General features: G+C 39.8%; 1 pseudogene, besides 1 other annotated feature; it reads right to left on the minus strand.

Annotated features, from left to right (window-relative positions):
* Positions 12,424 to 12,473: an enhancer, noted in NCBI's record as "active region_24916". NCBI's record gives its function as "activates an Ori minimal core promoter by ATAC-STARR-seq in GM12878 lymphoblastoid cells {active_cell/tissue: GM12878}" and the evidence as "EXISTENCE:reporter gene assay evidence [ECO:0000049][PMID:35858748]".
* Positions 15,385 to 17,117, minus strand: ZPR1P1 (ZPR1 pseudogene 1; annotated as a pseudogene).

Consider the following 23,029-nt stretch of genomic DNA (forward strand, 5'->3'; position numbering starts at 1 on the left):
GAAGGAGTAGATAGGATCCCTGACAGAATGAAGTACAGTTCCAATAGAAAAGAAAGCCCAGATTTTGTGGAAAGTGACAAGCTAATTTCAAAATTTATATGGAAAGGTAAAAGTCCAAGAATAGCAAAGATTCTCAGGAAAAAGAAAAAACATTTTCTTAACATGACTAAATATGAAAACTTATTATCTGGTTACAGTAACTAAAACAGAATGATATGACCTCAAGTATAGATAAATAGATTATTGGAACAAAATAAAAAATCCAGACCCAGAAATATACAGTCTTTTATTTTCAGCAAAGGTGCCACTGCAATGCAGTGAAGAAAAGATGAGCTTTTCAATAAACAATGTGCTGAGTCAATTGGATATATACTTGAGAAAAAATGAACTTGACCCCTACCTCACACTATACACAAAAATCACTTTCAGATTGATTACAGACCTAAATGTGAAAGATAAACAGTAAAGCTTCTAAAAGATAGCATTAAAGAATATCTTCATGGCCTTGTTCATTCTGGTATTTCCTCAAGAGTTTGGTACGTGGTCAGTGTTTGATAATTGTCCATTACATGAATTATGGAGTAGGGGAAATAAAGTGAGAGCAATGGATGGGAGGCTGGTGTGAGAGCAGCAAAGGTAGCAGTCATAGGATCAGGGAGAAAGGACACACTTCATCATTCTGGGGTAATTTTTAGCAAAAGATACATAATCCCTCCATCAAGGAAGGTGGAAGCCATGGCAGGTTGGAGGAGCAGGCCAGGAAGGCTCTAAGCCAGCCAAGCCCACAGAAAGTCAAACATTTGTACTCTCCTGAGGACTCCAGGCTTTTAGCTTGTGGCACTTCATTCAAAATTTCTGTCCTTGTATTTCGTAGTTGTTTTAAGAATCGGAATAACTATATATTATTAGTTAATAACTTACATATTTCACTTGTTAAATTTTGGCGTTGCTGCTTACAAAGTGCCACAGCTGGCCAGGTCTTGTGGCTGATGCCTATAATCTCAACACTTTGGGAGGCCGAGGTAGGAGGATTGCTTGATCCCAAGAGTTTGAGACGAGCCTGGGCAACATCGTGAGACCCTGTCTCTTAAAAAAAAAAAAAAAGTTTAAAAAAAATTAGCCAGGTGTGGTGGTGCATGCCTGTAGTCCCAGCTACTCGGGAGGCTAAGGTGGGAGGATCCCTTGAGCTTGGGAGGTCGAGGCTGTAGTGGGCTGTGGTTACACCATTGCACTCCAGCCTGGGTGACAGGGTGAGACCCTGTCTCAAAAATAAAATAAAAAATAAAACATGTCTGCAAATTCTTTGATGCTTCTGCCATTGAGAGGTAGGTTTATGTATCCTTCCGCTTCAATCTGGGCCTTAGTTATTTGTTGACCCACTTTAGTGACTGGTTAGCCATGGAATAAGGCAAAAATTATCCTAAATGTCTACAATGTTAGGTTATAAAAAGCAACACCGCTGTAACTGGTTCTCTTGGGATACTTGCCTTTGCAGCCCCAAGCTGTCATGTAAGAAGTCCAAGGTTGCCAAGCTTTGAGCAAGTCTCAGCCACATCGAAGGCCAGATGAGGGTTTTCTGGATAATGGGCCCAGTTGAAATCCCAGCCAACAGATGCCATCAATTACCAGACACATGAGTAAGGCTGCCTCCAGATGACTCCTGTCCCTCATGACTGAGTTGCTCCCAGCCTCCAAGTCTTGCCAATCAAGACTCTAGACATTACAAAGCCATGGCAAGCTGTCCCCACTTTGCCTTTGCCAAATTTCCAACCCACAGAATCTGTGAACATAATACAATGATTATCTTTTACTGCTAAGTTCTGTAATAGTTTGTTACACAGCAGCAGATATTTGGACTATCAGTCATGATGTACTTTCATCAGAACACACAGTTTGCAGTAACTGCTGTTATGAAAAAACAGTTGCTTGTGTCTTATGTTTCAAATATACATCTATATAGTATCTAACAGTTTCTATTTACTCTAACAGTCAATGATGTCAATTTCAGTGGCGTCTACAAATTAAAAGCCCCAAATACAATGTCCTTCCACCCAAAACAGACGTGTGAACACGTTGATATTGTGTGGTTTCTATAACACGCTCATGAGACTGAGGGAGGAGTAAATACATAGCACTTTTATACTCAATTCTCGAGTAAGTGTCCTGCATTTTGACTTGGGCTCAGAAGGTGTTTCTCACGGTCTGGTAGGAAGCCTGGTGAGGGAGGCTGACACTCTAGTTCACCTGAAGGCAGAACAGAAATGACGATGGGGAGCTGGTGTTGGAGGCAGGGAGGAGAACGTCCTGGTAATCTGGTTGGAAGTGGCCAGTCTTTCTGTTTAGATAAAAGAAAAAACTCAAACTAGACTTCAACGTAAAAATGCCTCATGGGCTATACATAAGACTCCATGTAAAACTATGTGTTACTGAAAGCCTAAAAACAAAGGATTGACAAAATCATACGAAGCAAAGGCAAATAAAAAATAGGGATTGGCACCTCTAAAATCAAACAAGTTTGAATTTAGAGAAGTATTATTAAATTATCAGAAGAAGTATTAAGCAAGACAAAGCATGATGTTTTGTAATGATAAAAGTGTAAACCACAATGAAACCCTAGCTATATATCTAGTTACAAATAGATATATAGTAAATTATAATAGTGATAAATTCATAAGACATAAACTACAGAAATTCAAAGAGAAATAGAAAAATACTAATCGTAGAAGATTTTAATTCTTTTACCTGAGACTTTGACAGGTACAAAAAAATAAGAATATTGAAGACTAAAATAATGTAATTTAAAAGATAGACTTTATGAACATATATTCAAATGCTATATCAGAATATATCTTCTTTAAAGTACTCATGCAATAATCACAAAATGTTACTCTTACATTAGATTGAAATAATGCTTCACTAATTTGCAAAATGGAGAAATAGTGCAGGTAAAACTCTCAGACAGCATTTCCACAAAATGGAAATTAGTTTTTAAATAATTTTAAATCTAAAAACCTTATCATTTAGAGCATTTAAACTCTTCATTAACTTTCTGATCAAATAGGAAATTTAAAAGTATAGGAAATCTACAAAGTAACAGCAACACATATATAATCAGAATCTATGGGATATTGCTAAATCGATAAACAAGAAAGAAAATAAATGAAGTATCCAGTTCTAGAAGTTTAAAAGAACAATAACACTAAGGCAAACAGATGGAAAGAATACTAACTAAAAAAAAATCAATCCAATAACTGATTCTTTAGGGGAAAAATAAAAAACTATGTAGATGTTAATTAATCTAATCAAGAAAATAGGGAGAAAGCACAAATATATAAAATTTTAATAAATGAAGTGAAGAAATCATAAAAGGCTACTTTGTTTAACTATATGTAAATAAATGGCTAAATGGATGTTTTTCGAGGAAACATAAATTTCCAAAATTGGTCAGAACAGAAAGCTAAACAGACAAATTAACATGGAGAAATTAGAAAATGTTATTAATAATATTAATAACTAAATAGCAATAGGCTCGTATAGTTTATTAAGCAAATTCTATAAAACTTTTAAGGAACTGGTAATTTCAATGCTATTTAAGATGTTTCAGAACAAAGGAGGAGAATCAAAGGTGCAAATTCTTCTTATGAAGGCAGTATAACATTGATATGAAAACCCAACAAAATGGCAACAAAAATAAATAAAATTATAGCCCAATCTCACCTAATGAATATTGCTGTAAAAATCTAGAATAAAAGAAACAGACCCATTAAAGTCAGAAAATAGATGAAAATATGTATTATTATTTAACAATGAACTGGAAATGCTAGTCAACATAATTAAACAAGAGAAAAATAGAGGTTTGAAAACTTGAACGTAGGAAGTAAAATTACCATTTTGTGTAGATAATATTTACTTTAGAATTCAAGACAATCAACTAAAAATATGTTATAAATAATAAGAATATTTAAGAAGCATGTTACAGAGTTAACATTAGGAAATCAATAGTCTAATTATGTAGAAACAATAGCCAGTTAAAATGTGACAGAAGAAAAAACTCATGTATAATAGGAACAAAAAAATAAGTTGTCCAGAACAAATTGTTTTGTGTGTTTGTTTTGAGACAGAGTCTTCGTTATGTTGCCCAGACTGGATTCAAACTCTTGGCTTCAAGTGCTCCTCTCACTTCAGCCTTAAGAGTAGCTGAGACTACAGGCAGGTGCTACTACTGCCCACAGCCAGAATAAATTTAAAAGGAAATTGTGCAAGGACTATGTAGAGAAAACTTGAAAATGCAAATGAAGATTTTAAAAAATAGAAAGACATGATGTTCTTGGGTAGGAATATTCAACACTGTAAATATGTCAATTCTCCCTAAAGTAATATATAAATGTAAAACAATGACAATAAAAATACTATCAGAATATTCTTTTGGAATTAAATAAGCTGATTGTATAGTCTATTATAAAAATAAATAATTACTAACCAGAAACAAATCTGAAAAAGGATACAAGGAGGTGTATTAGTTTTCTATTACTGCATAACAAATTATCATAAATTTAGTGTATTAACACAATACCTATGTATTAGCTCTCAGTTCTGTGGGTAAGAAGTCCCAGCACAGCAAGAACGGGTTCTCAACTCAAGGTCTAATGAGGCTGAAATCCAGGTGTCAGCCAGGCTGCATTCTGATCTGGAGGAGGGACTGTGGGAGAATCAGCCTCCAATTTCATTGAGTGTGTTGGACAAATTTAATTCCTTGTGGTTCTAGGATTGAGGACCCAGTTTCCTCGCTGACTGTCAGCCAGGGCCTCTCAGCTCCCCAGAGGCCTCCCTCATTCCTGGCCACACAGCCCCCTCCATTTTTAAAGCCAGCCAGGAAGAATCTCCCTCATATTGATTTCCTTCTTGTTTTGAATCTAGTCTCCAGGAAAAGCCCATTCTATTTTAAGGTCTCACCTGGGTCAGGTCTACTCAGCATAATCGCTCTTTTTTAAAGTCAGCTGTGCTAAATAACATAACTTAATCATGGAGTAACGATCCCATCATTCACAAATTCCAGGGGTTATAAAAGATGTTTATACCTGGGAGCAGGAATCTTGGGGATCAACTTAGAATTCTGCCTACCACAGGGGGTAATAGCCTTACTATTACTATTACTATTGCTATTACTAATATAAAAACATACTAGAAGGTAACAGTTAAACAGTATGACACTCCAAGGTGGGCGGATCGCTTGAGCCCAGGAGTTCGAGACCAGTCTGGGCGACATAGAGAAACCCCCATCTCTACTAAAAATAAAAAAAATTAAAAATTAGCTGGGCATGGTGGTGCATGCCCATAGTCTCAGCTACTTGTGAGGCTGAGGCAGGAGGATCACTTGATCCCAGGGAAGTTGAGGCTACAATGAGCTCTGATCGTGCCACTGCACTCCAACCTGGGTGACAGAGTAAGACCCTGTCTCAAAAAAACAAAACAAAACCAGTATGACACTGATGAACAAATAGGTCAATATTTATTGATCAATAAATAATAGATTCAGGGCTGGGCACAGTGGCTCACATCTATAGGAGTTCGAGACCAGCCTGGCCAACATGTTGAATCCCTATCTCTACTAAAAACAGAACAAAAAAATTAGCTGCGCATGGTGGCAGGTGCCTGTAGTCCCAGACACTTGGGAGGCTGAGGCAGGAGAATCGCTTGAACCCAGGAGGCGGAGGTTGCAGTGAGCCAAGATCACACCACTACACTCCTGCCTGGGCAACAGAGTGAGACCTTGTCTCAAAATAATAATAATAATAATAATAGTTTCTATAGATAAGTAGGTCTAAATTGAAGTCAAGGAATAAATCCAAAAGCATATAGAGATATAGAACATGAGAAAGACGATTTTCAAATTTTTGGTGAAAAAGATCAATTATTTCGTAAATGACAGCCATCTGGAAAAAGTAGAGTAAGATCTTATATTAATTATATAAAAATCACATAACTGCTATAACAAACCCCAGGTTCTCAATGGTTTCACATAATTAAAGTTCATCCTTATGTATGTCATGTACGGTTGGCTGTTACCAGGTTGTGTAGTCTCTCTTATGGTCATTCAGGGAGCCAAGCTCTATTCATCTGGACACTCTCTAGAGCTGTGCTGTCCATTGTTTTGGTTACTAGCCCCAGTCCAAAGTGAGATGTGCTGTGAGTATAAAATACACATCAGATTTTGAAGATATAATATGAAGAAAAGAATGTAAAATATCCCATTGATACATTTTGTACTGATTACTTGTTGAAATGGTAATATTTTTGATATATTGGGCTTAATAAAATATATTTTGACAATTCCACTTTTTGTTTTTTTGGTTTTTTTTGAAATGGAGTCTAGCTCTGTCACCCAGGCTGGAGCGCAGTGGTGCGATCTTGGCTCACTACAACACCCGCCTCCCAGGTTCAAGCAATTCTCCCACCTCAGCTTCCCAAGTAGATGGGATTACAGGCACCTGCCACCATGCTCGGCTAATTTTTGTATTTTTGTAAAGAAGGGGTTTCACCATGTTGGCCAGGCTGGTGTTGAACTCCTGACCTCAGGTGATCTGCCTGCCTCAGCCTCCCAAAGTGCTGGGATGACAGGCGTAAGCCACCACACCTGGCCTAATTTTTCTTAATATGGCTACTAGAAAATGTAAAATTCCATTTATGTCTTGCACGTATGGCTCACACTTATTTCTATTGAACACCACTGCTCTGGAATCTTCTCCAGAGCCTTCCCCATGGTGACTTGAGATGGCAGATAGGGAAAATGAGAGGGTCCCATGACTGTCCCTCACATTCCACTGGCCAGAACTCAGTCACATGGTCATACGCAACTGCACGGGAAGGGGAGAAAATGTTGTCCAGCTGTGTGCCAAGAGGAAGGGGAGATGGATTTGATGAACAACTAGGCACCTCTTCCACAGATCCCTCACTCACACCTTGCACCAAAACAAACAGTAAAGGAATGAGATTAAAATGTGGTAAAGAGGAAGGAAGGAAAAAAGAGAGGAAGGGAGGGAGCCAGAAGAAATGGGAAAATTTTTAATTTTAAAAATAATTTTTAGAAATATTTTTAGAATTAAAAAAAAATCTCAGAATATAAAAGGTCCAAGTATGACTCAGAATGTAGAGCTATAAAAGAAAAAAGAAAAGATCAATTTAAACAATCTTGAAATTAAAAAAAATTCTACCTGACAAAAGAAAACACCACAAACAAAGTAAAAACAAGTCAAATTCTAACTGGGAAAAATCTGACACATTGATATCTCAACCAAAGTATAAATTTCCTAAAGTATAAAGACCTCTTACAAATCAATTTTAAAAGAGCAATAAAACCCTATAGAGTAGTGAGCAGAACGTGTAAAGAGATAATTCACTGAAAAGGAATAAAAACAGTTTCTAAAAGTATGAAAGAATGATTCTTGACTTCACCTATAACTAGAAAAACACAAAGCTATATGTTTAACCTGTCAAACTGGCAAAGATTAAAAGATGGGTAACACGTTGTGTTGGTGATGGTGTGAAGTCAGGTTGGTGGGGTATAAATTGCTCTAACCTCTGTGAAAAGCAATTTGACAGTTAAATTCAGCATATCCTTGCTCTTTGATCCAGTAAACCCACTTCTAGCAGTTTATCTTGCAGATGTACATGATGAAAAGACAATGTACAGTAATACAGTAGTCATGGTGAAGATTTGACATACTTAAATGTTTGTCAATGTGGAAACAGTTAAATGCAATGGAATACCGTGGAGCCATATAAAGAACGAGGCCTAATATATATGTGTGGTATGTATGGTCATGACTAGTATTCCATACTCTACTCTTAGTCACAAAAGCAACATAAAAATAGTGCATAGTGCGGAAGGGTAGACAGAGATTGACTTCTGAGAGAGGAAGGAGAATATTTAGAAGGTAATCAGGGGCCGGAGGAAAGAGATGAGAGGGCAACTTTCCAGCCGGGCATGGTGGCTCACACCTGTAATCCCAGCACTTTGGGAGGCTGAGGTGAGCGGATCACCTGAGGTTAGGAGTTCGAGACCAGCCTGGCCAACACGGTGAGACCCTGTCTCTAATAAAAGTACAAAAATTAGCTGGCCATGGTGGCACGTGCCTGTAGTCCAAGCTACTCGGGGGGCTGAGGCAGAAGAATCACTTGAACCCAGGAGGTGGAGGTTGCAGTGAGCCAAGATTGTGCCACTGCACTCCAGACTGAGCGACAGAGCGAGACTCTGTCTCAAAAAAAAAAAAAAAAAAAAAAAACAACTTTCCTTTTATAGTATATCCACTTCAAAAACTTTTTGCTGTTCAAATTTTCTACAATGTGCATGTATTGGCCATTTTTAAAAGTAGATAATATATATTTAAATTTTGGAAGCAATGCCCTTCTTTGTGTTATTTGTGTCCTCTGAGATGCAAGTAATTTATTGGGGAACACACCTGTAATGGAAAATGGGGATGGAGCCAGAGGCGATGGGGAGGACGCTCAGAGTGTGATGAAGGTCTGACCCTGGAGAAGACAGGAGAGAGGGAAGGAAATTTGGACAAGGTCAGTGAACGTCCTTGAGCCAAAATTGCCCATCAGAAGTCCCACCTCTCCCAGGAGAAGGCGTGCCTTCCTATTCCTGCTACACTGAGAGGTTGGCTGAGGGCAGCCCCTGGGAAGCGCAGCCTCAGATGTGTTGATGGATTCAGAGCACAGCAGCTGGGGCCCTCGATCAGCTGCACTCCCTGCAGCAGATCTCATGGCTGTGGCCCCTCCAAAATCTGTGCTGATCACCTCTTCACTGAAGTTTGCAAATATTGCTCTTATGTGATGACTTCCTTGATTTTATAGTTACAGTGACTTGGATTCTTCTGATTCTAGGAAGTAACTTTTTTCTTTAATCATTTATTCATCCATTCATTTAACCAGTCTTTATTAAATACTTACCACATGTTATGTACTGAGCTAAGTGCTGGGGACACAAAAGTGAATAAAACAGACCTGGGTCCCAGATTCATGGACTTGAGGATCTGCTGAGCAGGCAGAAATGAATCAAACGATCAGCCAGCATATAACTTCCAACTCTAGTGAATGCTGCAGAGAAAAAGTGTAGAAAGTCATGATGCATCTGACACCAGTTGGAGTTTGGGGAAGGCTCCACAAAAGATGTGAAATATTAGAAATAAATGCTTATTGAGAAAACAGTGTGCAGAAGAGTGTAAAGTACAAAACCAGGCCAGGTGGTGGCTCACGCCTGTAATCCCAGCACTTTGGGAGGCTGAGGCAGGAGAATTGCTTGAGCTCAGGAGTTCAAGACCAGCCTGGGCAACATAACAAGATCCTGTTTCCACAAAAGATCAAAAAATGAGCCAGGTGTGGTGGCACGTGCCTCCCATAGTCCCAGCTACTCAGGAGGCTTTGGTGGGAGGATCTCTTGAACCAGAAGGTCAAGGGTGCAGTGAGCTGAGATTGTGCCTCAGCACTCCAGCCAGGGTGACAGAGTGAGACCATGTATCAAAAAAACAAAAACTAAAAAAAGAACAAAACTAAAATCACTCATAATTCTAGAACCAGAAATAACATCACCTGGCAGCTTTCTTTGTCTTTTACAAAAAATGCAGTTGTCTAATACAGCATTGTTCAATAGAACGGAATGTGAGCCACATATGTAATTAAAAATTTTTAAGACTCTTGAGACATTTTATAAAATTTTTGGAGAAGTGCTGTTCTCATTTGCATTGCTGGCAGTCCCCAGAGTGCATGTCTCACTGTGACTCTGGCAGTGGTGACCAATGTAATTTCCTCTAAATTTGTTAATTTGATTTGTCAAATTTGGCATTTCCTTATTTTCACAAACAATTCCGAAGTCTTTGCATTCTAGAGAGGCTGAACATTCTTTGTCCCTCTGCTCATTAGCTAATTCATTTCTAGTTTTACATTACTAATTTTCTTCTTTTAGAAGTGAATGAATGGTGCCTCTTACATTGAATGGAGTCAGATGAAGCCTGATACTTGTATTTATTTTCATATGCTAACATGGTTTGATTTCAAATCTCACCAACAATGGTTAAGCTTTGCCGACTGGGAGATGCAGTGCTGAGTATTAGGGGAAATACACTGAGAGCTGGAGGGTGCTCACAGGAAGCATACAAGTCCTGGAGGAAAACAGCAGGCCGGGCACAGCAGCTGAACCATGAGGCTGTGCACACTCAGGTACCATGGGACGTCTGGGTGCCCACGAGAGCAAGAGTGGGGCTGGGTAGCTGACTCTGGAGGGATCAGGTTCATGGAAGCAGTGAGATTTGAAACAGATCTGGGGGAGAAGGATCTCCGCGAGCAGGGTGGGATGAGAGGAGCCGAGGGCTGGGCTGGAACGTAGTGGTGTCTAATAGCAGATGTGGGAGACAAAGCAGGAAGGTCTGCTGGGCCCCTGTTCTAGCAGAATTTAAATAACCCCCTGAGGCTTTATTTTATAGATTTTGAGAACCTGGCCAGGCGTGGTGGCTCATGCCTCTAATCTCAGCACTTTGGGAAGCTGAGGTGGGTGGGACACTTGAGGTCAGGAGTTCGAGACCAGCCTGGCCAACATGGTGAAACCCCGTCTCTACTAAAAATGCAAAATTAGCTGGGCTTGGTGGTGCACACCTGTAATCCCAGCAACTTGGGAGGCTGAAGCAGGAGAATCCCTTGAGCCCAGGAGGTGGAGGTTGCAGTGAGCCAAGATTGTGCCACTGCACTCCAGCCTGGGCGACAGAGTAAGACTATTTCAAAAAAAAAAAAAAGAATTTTGAGGACTTGATGGTGCTTTTAAGCTGTTTTATTTTTCCTTTGAGAAGAGAAAATCCTAATTCACAGAGCTTTTCAAGGGAAAGGGCCTAAAGAGAGAAAAGGTGGCGTATCCTCAGCTCTTCCGCTGAGGTCAGCCTACCAAGGAGAGATCAGCTTTAGTTCCTCAGAGACATGCCCAGTGATTCCAGGTGTGTGCAGGAGAGTGGCCAAACAGCTAAGGCAATAAGTCTGTTCTGAAGAAGACTTCTGTGTGTCAGGGGCCCACCTGCCGTGGCCAGGGAGGCTCTGCTCGTGCTTGAACCAGGCTTCTGCCAGGCGCCCTCCACCCACTCCATGCCTGCCCTCTCCACCCACCCCCTCCTCTACCCCCTCCCCTTCACCACCTCCCACACCCTCTTCACCCCTGCCCCTAAACCCCCACCTACCCCGGGGTCTAGTCCTTTGGGGGGAACATGAACTTGGCCTTCTTTAGAGCAGGCTGACCAATGGCTACCTCCATTCAGAAATGCTTGCTGTAACTCAGGACATCCTGTGTTGGCTGTGTCCCAAAGTCCAGGTGAAAATCTCCCGGGCCTCTGCACATCTTAGGAAGGAAGAGGGACCAAGCATCTAATGAGGTCTCTGATCTGGAGAGGAGAAGCACCTTGAGCCAGGGAAAGCCTCTTCCAGCACAGACAAGGCAGCCCTTTCTTTAGTGGGTGTCCTTTTCAGAACCAGGTGTTGCTAAGATTTAAAAGGTATTCTGTTTGCTAATTCAACTGAAATACACACAATCCGCCCCCAGTGCTGGGTTCAACATCTTTTTGCCAAGGCGGTTTTTACAAATGCTGATGAACCACTCCATGTGGCTTCCTAGGCAAGCACATTCCTCAAGCATTTTGACACCGGCTAATGATTTAAAGTCCCTTTGGCTCCATAAACAGTGGAGGCCGGCCCAAAGTGTTGGCTGATTAGAAACCCACTGGGCAGGCTCGCCCAAAAGGGCCTGGGGCTGGGTGAGCGCTCTACCTGGCTTCCCTCCTTGGGTGAGGAGGAGTGGGGTGGAAGGAAGGTGAGAAGGTGGTGCCCCTTTTCTGGATCTCTTGGTTTCCCTTTGACTCTCCATCTAGTATTCTCTGCATACACACACACTCGCACACACACACGCGCACACACATGCACACTCATATGCACACGCACACTCGTCTCTGCCTATGACTGTTCGATATCTTGTTGAATAGGCTCTGTGAAGGGCTGGGGGAGGGGCACATGTTGGAGAGAATGCCTACTTTTACTTCACTCGCAAAGATTCATCCCAAATTCTGTGGGGGTGTGTTGGCAAGGAGGGGAGGCAAGACTAAACAGAGGGGATAAAAACTTGCATCCGCATGATTGCTTTTTAAAAATATGACAACTTGTGAAAGCTTTATTTTCTGTTTATAGTGAAAGGCATTTCTTCTTGCCATTTACAGAGCAATTCTGCAAGAGAGCTTCAGCAAAATTCCAAAACAATCGCATCGAGAGTCGGCACAACGCAGGTCTCCCGACTTTGACTGGTTCCAGACGAAGTTTCTTTTGTCGTTTGCTAGCCTCCAGGGATGCAATCTCTACACTCTCTGTGGGATGGAGGGGGAAGGTGAGTGGAGGGAACATTAAATATTAGGAAACCCGAAGAAAAAGCAAAAGCAACTGCTTTCTCAGGCTGCCCTTCGGAGGTTCGTAGTCCGGGAACGATGAAGGGAGACTGCCACCTATGGGCCAGGTTCCAGGGACGCCCGCACGTGGCGTTCTGCGGGACAGACGCAGTCTTAAGGTAGAAGGGAAGGCGTCTTCATGGGACAGTGAGTCACCGCACACTCTGCTTGCAGGCAGAAGCACTCTTAACTCATTCAGGACAGATGAGCATTTTCCCAATTTAAAGGACACTTTTTTTTTTTTTTAAACAAGAGTGTGATCTTGTAAGCCAAGTTTTGTAATACAAACAAAATAATGGAACTGACACCCCAGGACCCACCATTTAAATTAAACAGATGTTCAGTTCAGTTTGGCTGCTAGGTTCCACAGTGGGATCCACTCCAGCACTATACCTGAAATTGTGTGGCTGCTTAACAAAAATGAATCAGCATAATGAATCAGAGATAAACATCCTCTTGCCGTGCCGTCCCAGTAGAAAAGCAACAGGATAAATAACAATTGGGCAAATATCAAACCCATTCCAGCAGATGCCTGTGGGTGGGGGCAAGGGAAATGAAAGTGGAATCAGACACAAAGGGGAATATAAAAGGAAGCACAGTTGTAAAACTAGAGAGGGACCTCACATACAGTCACGGTAATGGGATAAGAACTGAGGAGTATAATTCAATCACCTCTGCTCCCAACGTGAAAAAGAAAAGTTATATGCTTTGAGCTTGGCAAGTGGGAGACGGCTACTGTGTTATAATGGTTCCAATGGTATCATACAGTTGTCCTTTGATATTTGAGATCTATGTGTTCGTGAATAGCAAATCCTATTATTCCCATTGTCTTCCATTATAAAATCAGATCTGCCACACAACACCTATACGATACTGGATTTAGAGTAACCAAGCAGTCCCGACTCCTGTTGCAGAGAAGGGAGTGGTGTAGGTATTTGTGTGTGCATTTTTTTGTCTGAGTGTGTGTACATGTGCATGTATATGAAAGCATGTGTGTATGTATGAGTGTTTAAAAAAGGAGCTCAGGAAGGATTATGGTTCTGTCACTCCAAACCAAAGGAGATTTAAGGTCCTCTGCCCAGCATTGTAGCACCTAGAGAAAAGCTAACCCTGTCCAGGGAGGCATCTCCCCTGAATAGGCACATGTACTGAATAGGCACACTGCCTTCCAGACCCATCAGAAAGGCAGAGTTGGGCTGTAGAGTCTTCAACAGAAATCAGCAAGTAAAACTTGGGATGCTAGAATGGTACTGTACTTTCAGCAAGTGGCAAAGGAAACACAGGAAAGAATCCAACAGAAGCAGGATGGGGATTTTCTGGGCAGACTAGTAGGCTGGGTGAGGGAGAATAACCCAGTGTTGCACTCTATGTATAATCCACATTTTGTTTGCCCATTTTGCTCCTGAAGGACCTGTAGGAGACAGGAGCTAGGCCAGAACTGTTCTCTTAGCCCCACCAACTAAGGGTTAGTAGCATCAGTTCCTAAGTGAAGAAGAACTGGCAACCGATACCAGAATCCATCGAATGTCCTTTAGGGTTCTTTATACATAAAAACATAAATAGTGCCAAATTCTCATTAGTAGCTCAGTTGCTCTTTAAAAAAACACTCCTTTTATCTTTTATGAAGTGTAAGTTCAAGAGTCTTTCTAGATGTTGTAATATTCGGACACCTGGTTTAGGAGGCCTCTCTCTCCCCCCTTCATATATGTGAACCATAACCAGGAAGATCTGAGTATCTTTAACGTATATTAGTAAATTATATATACTATCGTTTCATGTACTTTACATTTTATGTAAATTATATTGTATAAATATTTATGTTGCATCTTTCTAGTTTATCATTACACATTTTAGATGTATCCATGTAGGTGATAAGGATCTAGTTCACTCATTTTAATGGCTGTGCAGCATTGCATTGCATGAATAATCCACATTTGATTTGCCCATTTTGCTCCTGAAGGTCAGGTAGCTTGTTTCCACTTTTAAGCTATTACCCAGAGTGCTGAAAGAATGTGCTTTTGTTCATATCTCCTTGGACCCACGTGTCTCTTGGGAACTTCTAGACATATAGTGGCAGAATTTTTGGTCATAGGTTATGCATTAACTTTACCAGGTGTTGCCAAATCGCTCTCTACAGTGGGTCTGTCATTTTTACATGCCCACTAGCAGTGGATGTAAGTATCCATTTCTCCATTCTCATCAACTTTTGGTATTGTCAGAGTTTTTTCAAGAAATTCCCACTCTAATAGGCATGAAATAGTATCTATTTGTTTTAATTTGCATCTCCTTGACTACTAATAAAGGCGAGCACATTTTCATGCGTCTATAGACCATTAAATGTCCTCTTTTGCCGATTGCTTGTTAACATCCTTAAGCTTTTTTGATGTTCGGTTGTTGCTCTTTTTCTTGCTTATTTGTAGGAACTAGTTGTACATTTTGGATAGTAATCTTTGGTTGGAAATGTGGGATATAACTATTTTCTCCAAGTCTGTGTTTGTCTTCTTGCTTTGCTGTTAGTGCCATTTGTCATTAAGAAGTTTAAAAAAATTATCTACTTCAACTTCTCACTTTTCCATGATAATTTTTGGTTTTGTATTGTTTAAGAAACCCTACCCTCCTTGGATGTCATTGAAATATTTTCCTGTAGTTCTGTCTAAATGTTTACTGCTTTTCCTTAACACATCTGAAATTTATTTTTGTTCACACAGTGAGGTACGAATCTAATTTTTCTCTTAGAAAATATTATTAGCCAATAGTCACAGTGCCATTTATTGAATAGTCATCCTTTCCCTGCTGATTTGCAGTGTCACCTCTTATATCCTAAGTTCCTACTTATGTGTGTTTCTAACTTTTTCAGAAAATTTGCCCCATTGATCTATTTAGCTAAATGCTGATACCAGAATATTTTATTTCATTTTCCAGGTGTAATTTTATTCCACTTTCTCCAACTTCAGAGTTCCAACCTTAGAGGACAGAGCATTATGTGGAGGGAGGGTAAAGACTTGATATGAAAAAAGTGATAATGACATACCCCTGGTTCATTTCTGGGTTTCTTCCTAGGCCAATTCAAAGCCTCAAAATAAGGTCAAGTAACACAATAGGCTCACACTTGCATTACAAGCTGTTTAGAAAATGTGCCTAGATCTCTGACTCAGACAAGATGTCCTCCCCACCATGGGCAAGGGCTGGTGGGCAAGACACTCCCAGCCTTCTTCCAATACTAATAAATAACCTGCAGAATGAGCAGCGCTGGAGAGCTGGCCCTTGACCCACCCACTGCTACCGTTGTGGAGCCAGGCCTGCCTCATAGCCCTCTGTCTTCATGTCATTGAGCTCTAGCTCCTCATTTTAGTCAAAGGTGTGCTTATAATGCTCCGCCTTCATCTCAGGATCATCTTCAGTTGCATACACATTCTGCAAGTAACTGTTTCCTGCTGAATCATCCATAATAAAGTCGGTCTTCATGTTACCTTCGATGATCTGGTCCATCTTCTGGCTAAACTCCTGCAGTCTCTCCGTCTGGCCAGGATTGGAACTGTCGCCCAGTGTGAAAGGGTTTTTGGTCACCAGTTCCCAGATATCTTTCAGCAGCCCTTCTAGTGTGGTGAACTTGCACCTGAGGATGGCCATTCCCAGTCAAATTCTGGCTCTGGGATTTCCACACTACAAGTCTCAGACTTGAGGAGGTCTCTGGTCATATCTGAGGGACCTGTGATGTGGAGGGTGATCCTGGTGCCCAAGGGTTCTACTGCTTCTCCAGATTTCACCTCATTGGTCTGATGCACGCAGTTCTTGTACTTGGTCCCTCCTTAAAGTGAGGGATTTGTACTAGCTTCATGTTGGTCTGAGTGGGGGCATTGCATTCTGGGCCGTTTGTGTTAAACTGGAGCACTTCATTTCTGAGATCTTCCTCTTCTGGCTTCTCTGTTGGTGCTTCTGCTTGGAGCCCCAGCATCTCTTCCTGCTGTCGGGTCTGGTTGTAGTGTGTGATCACCAGGGCATCATCTTTCTGAGCAGCCTGTGGGTTTTCCACAAAGCTGTTCCCTGAGGGATCATCAATGATCAGAGTGAAAGGGGAGGCTGATTGCTTTAGCTCCTTCAGTTTGACAATGAACTCATCAATTCTTTCAGCTGTGGCATCTTTGTTGCCCTTCGCGCAGGCTAGTCCTGCTCCCGGCCAGAGATAGCACGGGTGATCAATCCTTCAACAGTGTTCAGACCTCCTTTCTGGCTAAAGGCAGGAATTTGAAAATCTAGCTCAGGAATCCTTGTGGTAGCAGAGTCAGTCTTCACCACTTCTCTGTTCATGTCCTCCAGAGCCCTGATGCTCAAAGTGTAGCGCACTCCCTGGTCCTGGATCCTGCCTGCCGATTGGATCTCCGTGTTGTTCCAGCCACAGTGGTGGCAGGAAAAGGAGCTCACGATTATTTCTCTGAAGAAGGGAATCTTGGTGAGCAGGAGGCGCGTCATGCCATTGCGGTAACAGTTCATGCACAGTGACTTGATCTGGGTGGGCTGCTGCTCCTTGTCCTCGGCGCTGATGGGCCAGAACAGATGACCCAGGGCAGGCAGCAAGTCCAGGGCGGGCGAGGGGGCAACGGCTGACCCCGGGGACCCCACTTCCACAGCCCCGGTGGCCGCCATCACCACCCTGCATCCAAATATTTTAATTACTTATTTAATTATTTAACCACTGCACTTCAGCCTTCAGCCTGAGTGACAGAGCGAGACCTTGTCTCAAAAGGAAAAAAATATATATATACATATATGTAAATGTATGTGTATGTGTATATATATGTATATATGTATATACAAAAAATTAAATAAAATTTAATTTTAATTTTATTCATAAAATAAGTTCATTTTTGTTAAGTATATTTTATTTGCCCCACATTTACTCTCAATATAACAAGGGTACAAGATATTAAACGACAAAAGATGACTCTTTTTCAACAAATGATATTGAGATAACTGGATAGGCATATGCAAAAGAATGAAGTTGCACCCCCTCTTCACTTCATTTATAAAATTAACTAAAAACAAGTTTTGCTATCTGTTAGGGTGAATCCTTTCTCTTTATGCTGTCTCAAAATTGTGGCCAGGCACCATGGTTCATACCTGGAAGCCCAACACTTTGGGAGGCTGAGGCAGGAGGATCACTTGGGCCCAGGAGTTAGAGGCTGCAGTGAGCTATGATTGTGCCACTGCACTCCAGCCTGGGCAACACAGTGAGATCCCGTCGCTTAAAAAAAAATTGTTTTGGCTGTTCTTAACCCCTTTATTTTTCTGGATGGATATTCTGATATGCTTATCGAGGTCAGTGAAAACAATTCTCCACGGATTTTGAATAGAATTTATTAATAGTATAAATTTAGGAAAGCTGCTACTGTTAAGCTGTTGTCTTTCCATACATAAACAGGGTGTATCTCATCATTTCTTCAGGTTTTCTATCTTTCAGTGAGGTTTTAGAGCTTTCTTTGTAAAAGTTTCATGTCATTTATTAGATTTATGAATAACATAGTTTTTTAAAAACTATAAATGTAAATGGCATGTCTTTTTATTTCATCCTCATTCTTGAATGATAGTTTAGCTGTGTATAGAATTCTAAGTTAGCTATTTTCCCTCAACACTCTAAATAGAACTTCTCTCAGATAACTAGGTATAGAAGGAACATTCCTTGCTGAGCACAGCAGCTCACACCTGTAATTCCAGCACTTTGGGAGACCAAAGCCGAAAGATTGCTTGAGCCCAGGAGTTCGAGACAAGCCTGGGCAACATAATGAGATCCCATTTCTAAAAAAACTTTAAAAACTTAGCTGGGCATAGTGATGTGTGCCCGTAGTCCTAGCTACTCGGGAGACTGAGATGGGAGGATTGCTTGAGCCCAGGAGGTTGAGGCTGCAGTGAGCCATGGTCACACCACTGCCCTGCAGCCTGGGTGACAGAGCAAGATCCAGTCTCAAAAAACAACAACAAAAAAGGAACATTCTTTAACCTGAAAATGGCATCTACCAAACCCTAAAGCAAATATTATTCTCAGTGGTGAAATCCTAAAAACATCCCATTTGAATTCAGGAATAAGACACGGGAAATACTGGAATGCAACATCATCCTAATTATCAGGAACAAACAAGATGCAATTTTTAAAAACCATGACATATAGCTGGATTTATTTAAATTAAGTCTCAGCCCTTTAACCTATGAAGTTAGTTCATTTACATTATTGTGATTATATACTGTGGTGGATTTATTCTTTAACCTTGCTTTGTGCTTTCTGTACATTTTTTTCTTTTTCTCCTTTTTTTGCCTTTTATAGAACTGATCAATATTATCTTTCAAATGATTATATTTCTGTTTTTTTCATATTTACTTTAAAATTGAACAAACATACTGCTCAACAATCTTGTAGGTTAATCAATATCCCTTGGTTTCCTTTCAAACAAAATAAGGACCTTAGGTGGTTTTCTCTCTTATTCTTCTTTTTCTCTCACACATTGTTTCTAGTATTTTAATTCCATCTTTTTATGGAACCTCCATTAGTGCTTTTGTTACTATTGTTTCATACAGTCAATGCTTGTTTAGATTTGACTATGTATTTTTCAACTTTTTAATTCTCCACTGCTTTTCTAAAAACATTTTTGAGGTATAATATAGATATAATTCCTCCATTTAAAGTATACAATTCAATGGTTTTTAGTATATTGACAGTTGTACAACTATTAGCACAATCAACCTTAGTACATTTTTATGAACCTCAAAAGAAACCTCATACCCATTAGCAGTCACTCTCCAATTTCCCTCCAACCCAACCAGCCCTAGGCAACCACTAATCTGCTTTCTGTCTCTATAGATTTGCCTATTCTAGATATTTCGGAGCAATGGAATCATACACTATATGGTCTTTTGTGACTGGCTTCTTTCACACAGCATATTTTCTTTTTTTTATTATACTTTAAGTTCTAGGGTACATGTGCACAACGTGCAGGTTTGTTACATATGTATACATGTGCCATGTTGGTTTGCTGCACCCGTTAACTCATCATTTACATTAGGTATATCTCCTAATGCTATCCCTTCCCCCTCCCTCAACCCCACGACAGGCCCTGGTGTGTGATGTTCCCCCTCTGTGTCCAAGTGTTCTCATTGTTCAATTCCCACCTATGAGTGAGAACATCACATAGCATATTTTCAAAGTTCATCCATGTTGTAGTATGTATCAATACTTCATTATTTTTATGGCTAAATAATATTCCACTGTATGGATATACCACATTTTATTTATCCATTCATCAATTAATGGACATTTGTATTGTTTCTACTTTTGGGCTACTGTGAATAATGCTGCTATGAACATTCATGTGCAAGTTTTTGTGTGGACATATGTATTTCATTTCTCTTGGATATATATCTAGGAGTGGAATTAGAGGGTCAAAGGGTAACTTTCAATTTAGCTTTTTGAAAAACTGCCAAACTGTTTTCCAAAGGGGCTGTGACATTTTATATTCCCACCAGCAATGTATGAGGGTTCTACTTTCTCTATATCCTTGCCAAAACGCTATCTGCCTTTTTCATTATAGCCTCTCAAGTGTGTGTAAGTGGTATCTCACTGAGGTTTTGGTTTCCATTTCTCTAATGACTAATGATGTTTAGCATCTTTTCATGTGTTTATTGGCCATTGGCATATTTTATTTGGAGATTCATATCCTTTGCCTCCCTTGCTTTTTGTTGAGACAGGGTCTCACTTTGTCACCCAGGCTGGAGTGCAGTGGCACAATCATGGCTTACTGCAGCCTCAAACTCCTGTGCTCAAACGATCCTCCTGCCTCAGCCCAACAAATAGCTGGGACTACAGGCATGTGCCACCATGCCCACCTTTGTCCATTTTTAAATTGTGTTATTTGCCTTTTTATTATTGAGTTGTAATAATTATTTTTTATTGAGTTGTAAGAATTACAACTCAATAATAATAGTAAGTAAATACAAGTATTTTATCTGATATATGTTTGCAAATATTTTTTTCCATACTGTGAGTTGTCTTTTCATTTTCTTCATGATGTTCTTTGAACCACAAAATTTTTCAATTTTGATGAAGTTCAATTTACATATATTTTTATTTTGTTGCTTATGCTTTTGGTGTCATACCTAAGAAGGCTTTACCTAACCAAGGCCATGAAGATTTAGGCCCATGTTTCTTCTAAGAAGTATATAGTTGTAGGAGCCGGGTGCAGTGGCTCACACCTGTAATCCCAGCACTTTGGGAGGCCGAGGTGGGCAGATCATGAGGTCAGGAGTTCAAGACCAGCCTGGCCAATATGGTGAAACTGCATCTCCACTAATATACAAAACTTAGCCAGGCGTGGTGCACCTGTAGTCCCAGCTACTCTGGAGGCTGCGGCAGGAAAATCACTTGAACTTGGGAGGCGGAGGTTGCAGTGAGCCAAGATCACACCATTGCACTCCAGCCTGGGCAACAGAGCGAGATTCCGTCTCAAAAAAAAAAAAAAAAAAAAAAAGAAGTGTGTAGTTGTAGGTCTTACATTTAGGTCTGTGATCCATTTTTAGTTAATTTTATAAATGAAGTGAAGAGGGGGTGCAACTTCATTTTTTGCATATGCCTATCCAGTTATCTCAATATCATTTGTTGAAAAAGAGTCATCTTTCCTCATTTAATGTCTTGTACCCTTGTTATATTGAGAGTAAATGTGGGGCAAATAAAAGAAAATATACGTAATAAAAATGAACTTATTTTATTAAAATAATAAAATTAAAATTAAATTTTATTTAAATTTTTTGTATATACGTATATACCCATATATATATACACATACATTTACATATATGTATATATATATTTTTCCTTTTGAGACAAGGTCTCGCTCTGTCACTTAGGCTGAAGGCTGAAGTGCAGTGGTTCAATCATAGCTCTTTGCAGCCTTGACCTCCCAGGCCCAAGCAATCCTCCTACCTCAGCCTCTCAAGTAGCTAGGATCACAGAAATGCACCACCACACCCAGCTAATTTTTAAAAAGATTTTTGTAGAGAAAGGGTCTCCCTACATTGCCCAGGCTGGTTTTGAACTCCTGGCTTCAAATGATCCTTGCATCTCAGTCTCCTAAAATGCTGGGATTGCATGAATGAGTCCCCACACCCAACCTGTATTTTTATATTTCTTAAATAAAAATATTATTTCAAAATAAAATATTTTGGACTAAGTCTATTTTATTCATCCATGTCTATTCTTAAGCAAGTACCACAGTGTGTTCACTACTGTAACTTTGTAATACATTTTGAAATCAGTGGGAAATGTGAGTCCTCCAACATGGTTCTTCTTTTAAAAAATTGTTTTGACTATTTTGGGTCACTTGCATTTACATATTAATTTTAGTATCATTTTCTGCAAAGGAAAGCCAAGTAGGATTTTGATAGAGTTTAACTCTGTAGATGAATATGGGAGTATGGCCATTTTAACAATATTAAATCTTTGAATCCATGAACATGGGATGTCTTTCCATTTATTTTGGAATTCTTTAATTTCTTTTAACAATGTCATAGTTCACAGAGTACAAGTTTTATACTTCTTTTGTTAAATTTATTCCTAAGTAGTTTGTTCTTTTTAATTCTCTTATAAATGGAATTGCTTTCTTAATTTCTTTTTCAGATTGCTCATGGATAATTTATTGCTTCTTGATCCTTTTCTCATGGGTTCATATTTCCTACTCCCTGAAGTATATCCTCAAATAATTCATAAAATAAATCTGCAAATACAATTCTCTTACTTTCCATCTGAAAGTGTCTTTATTTCACCCTCACTCTTGAATGATAATTTAATTAGGTATAGAATTCTAGGTCAGTAGTTTAGAAGATATTTTTCTATTTTATTTTGGCCTTACTTCTTGTTACTGAGATGTCAACTCTCAGTCTAATTGTTTCTCTGCAGACAAAGTGCCTTTTTTTCCTGGTTGTTTTTAACTTGTCTTAGTTTATTTTTGATGTTCGACAGTTTTATTATATATATATCAAAATGGAGCTTATTTTATTTATTCTATTCAATGTTTGTTGTACCTCTTCAACCTAAGGATTTGTGTTTTAATTCTAGAACATTCTCAGTGATTAATTTTTTGAATATTGCATTCTCTCTAGTATCTCTTTCTAGAACTTTCAGGGATATACTTTCTCATTTTATTCTCCCAGTGTCTATTTTTGTCATTAAAAATATCTCATTCTGGTTGGATGTGGTGGCTCACACCTGTAATCCCAATACTTTGAGATGCTGAGGTGGGCAGATCACTGGAGCCCAGGAGTTCAAGAACAGCCTGTGTAACATGCTGAAACCGTGTGTCTACCAAAAAATACAAAAATTAGCCAGGCATGGTGGTGTGTGCCTATAGTCCAGCTACTTGGGAGGCTGAGGTGGGAGGGTCACCTGAGCCCAGGAGGTCGAGGTTGCAATGAAAAAAAAATATATATATATAATATATATAAATATATATATATAAAATATATATGGGATATATATATTATTCTGAACTGTATTTTTAGTACTTCTCAATTCTATATTCTAG

Source organism: Homo sapiens, chromosome 6, assembly GCF_000001405.40.
Source record: "Homo sapiens chromosome 6, GRCh38.p14 Primary Assembly".
NCBI lineage: Eukaryota > Metazoa > Chordata > Mammalia > Primates > Hominidae > Homo > Homo sapiens.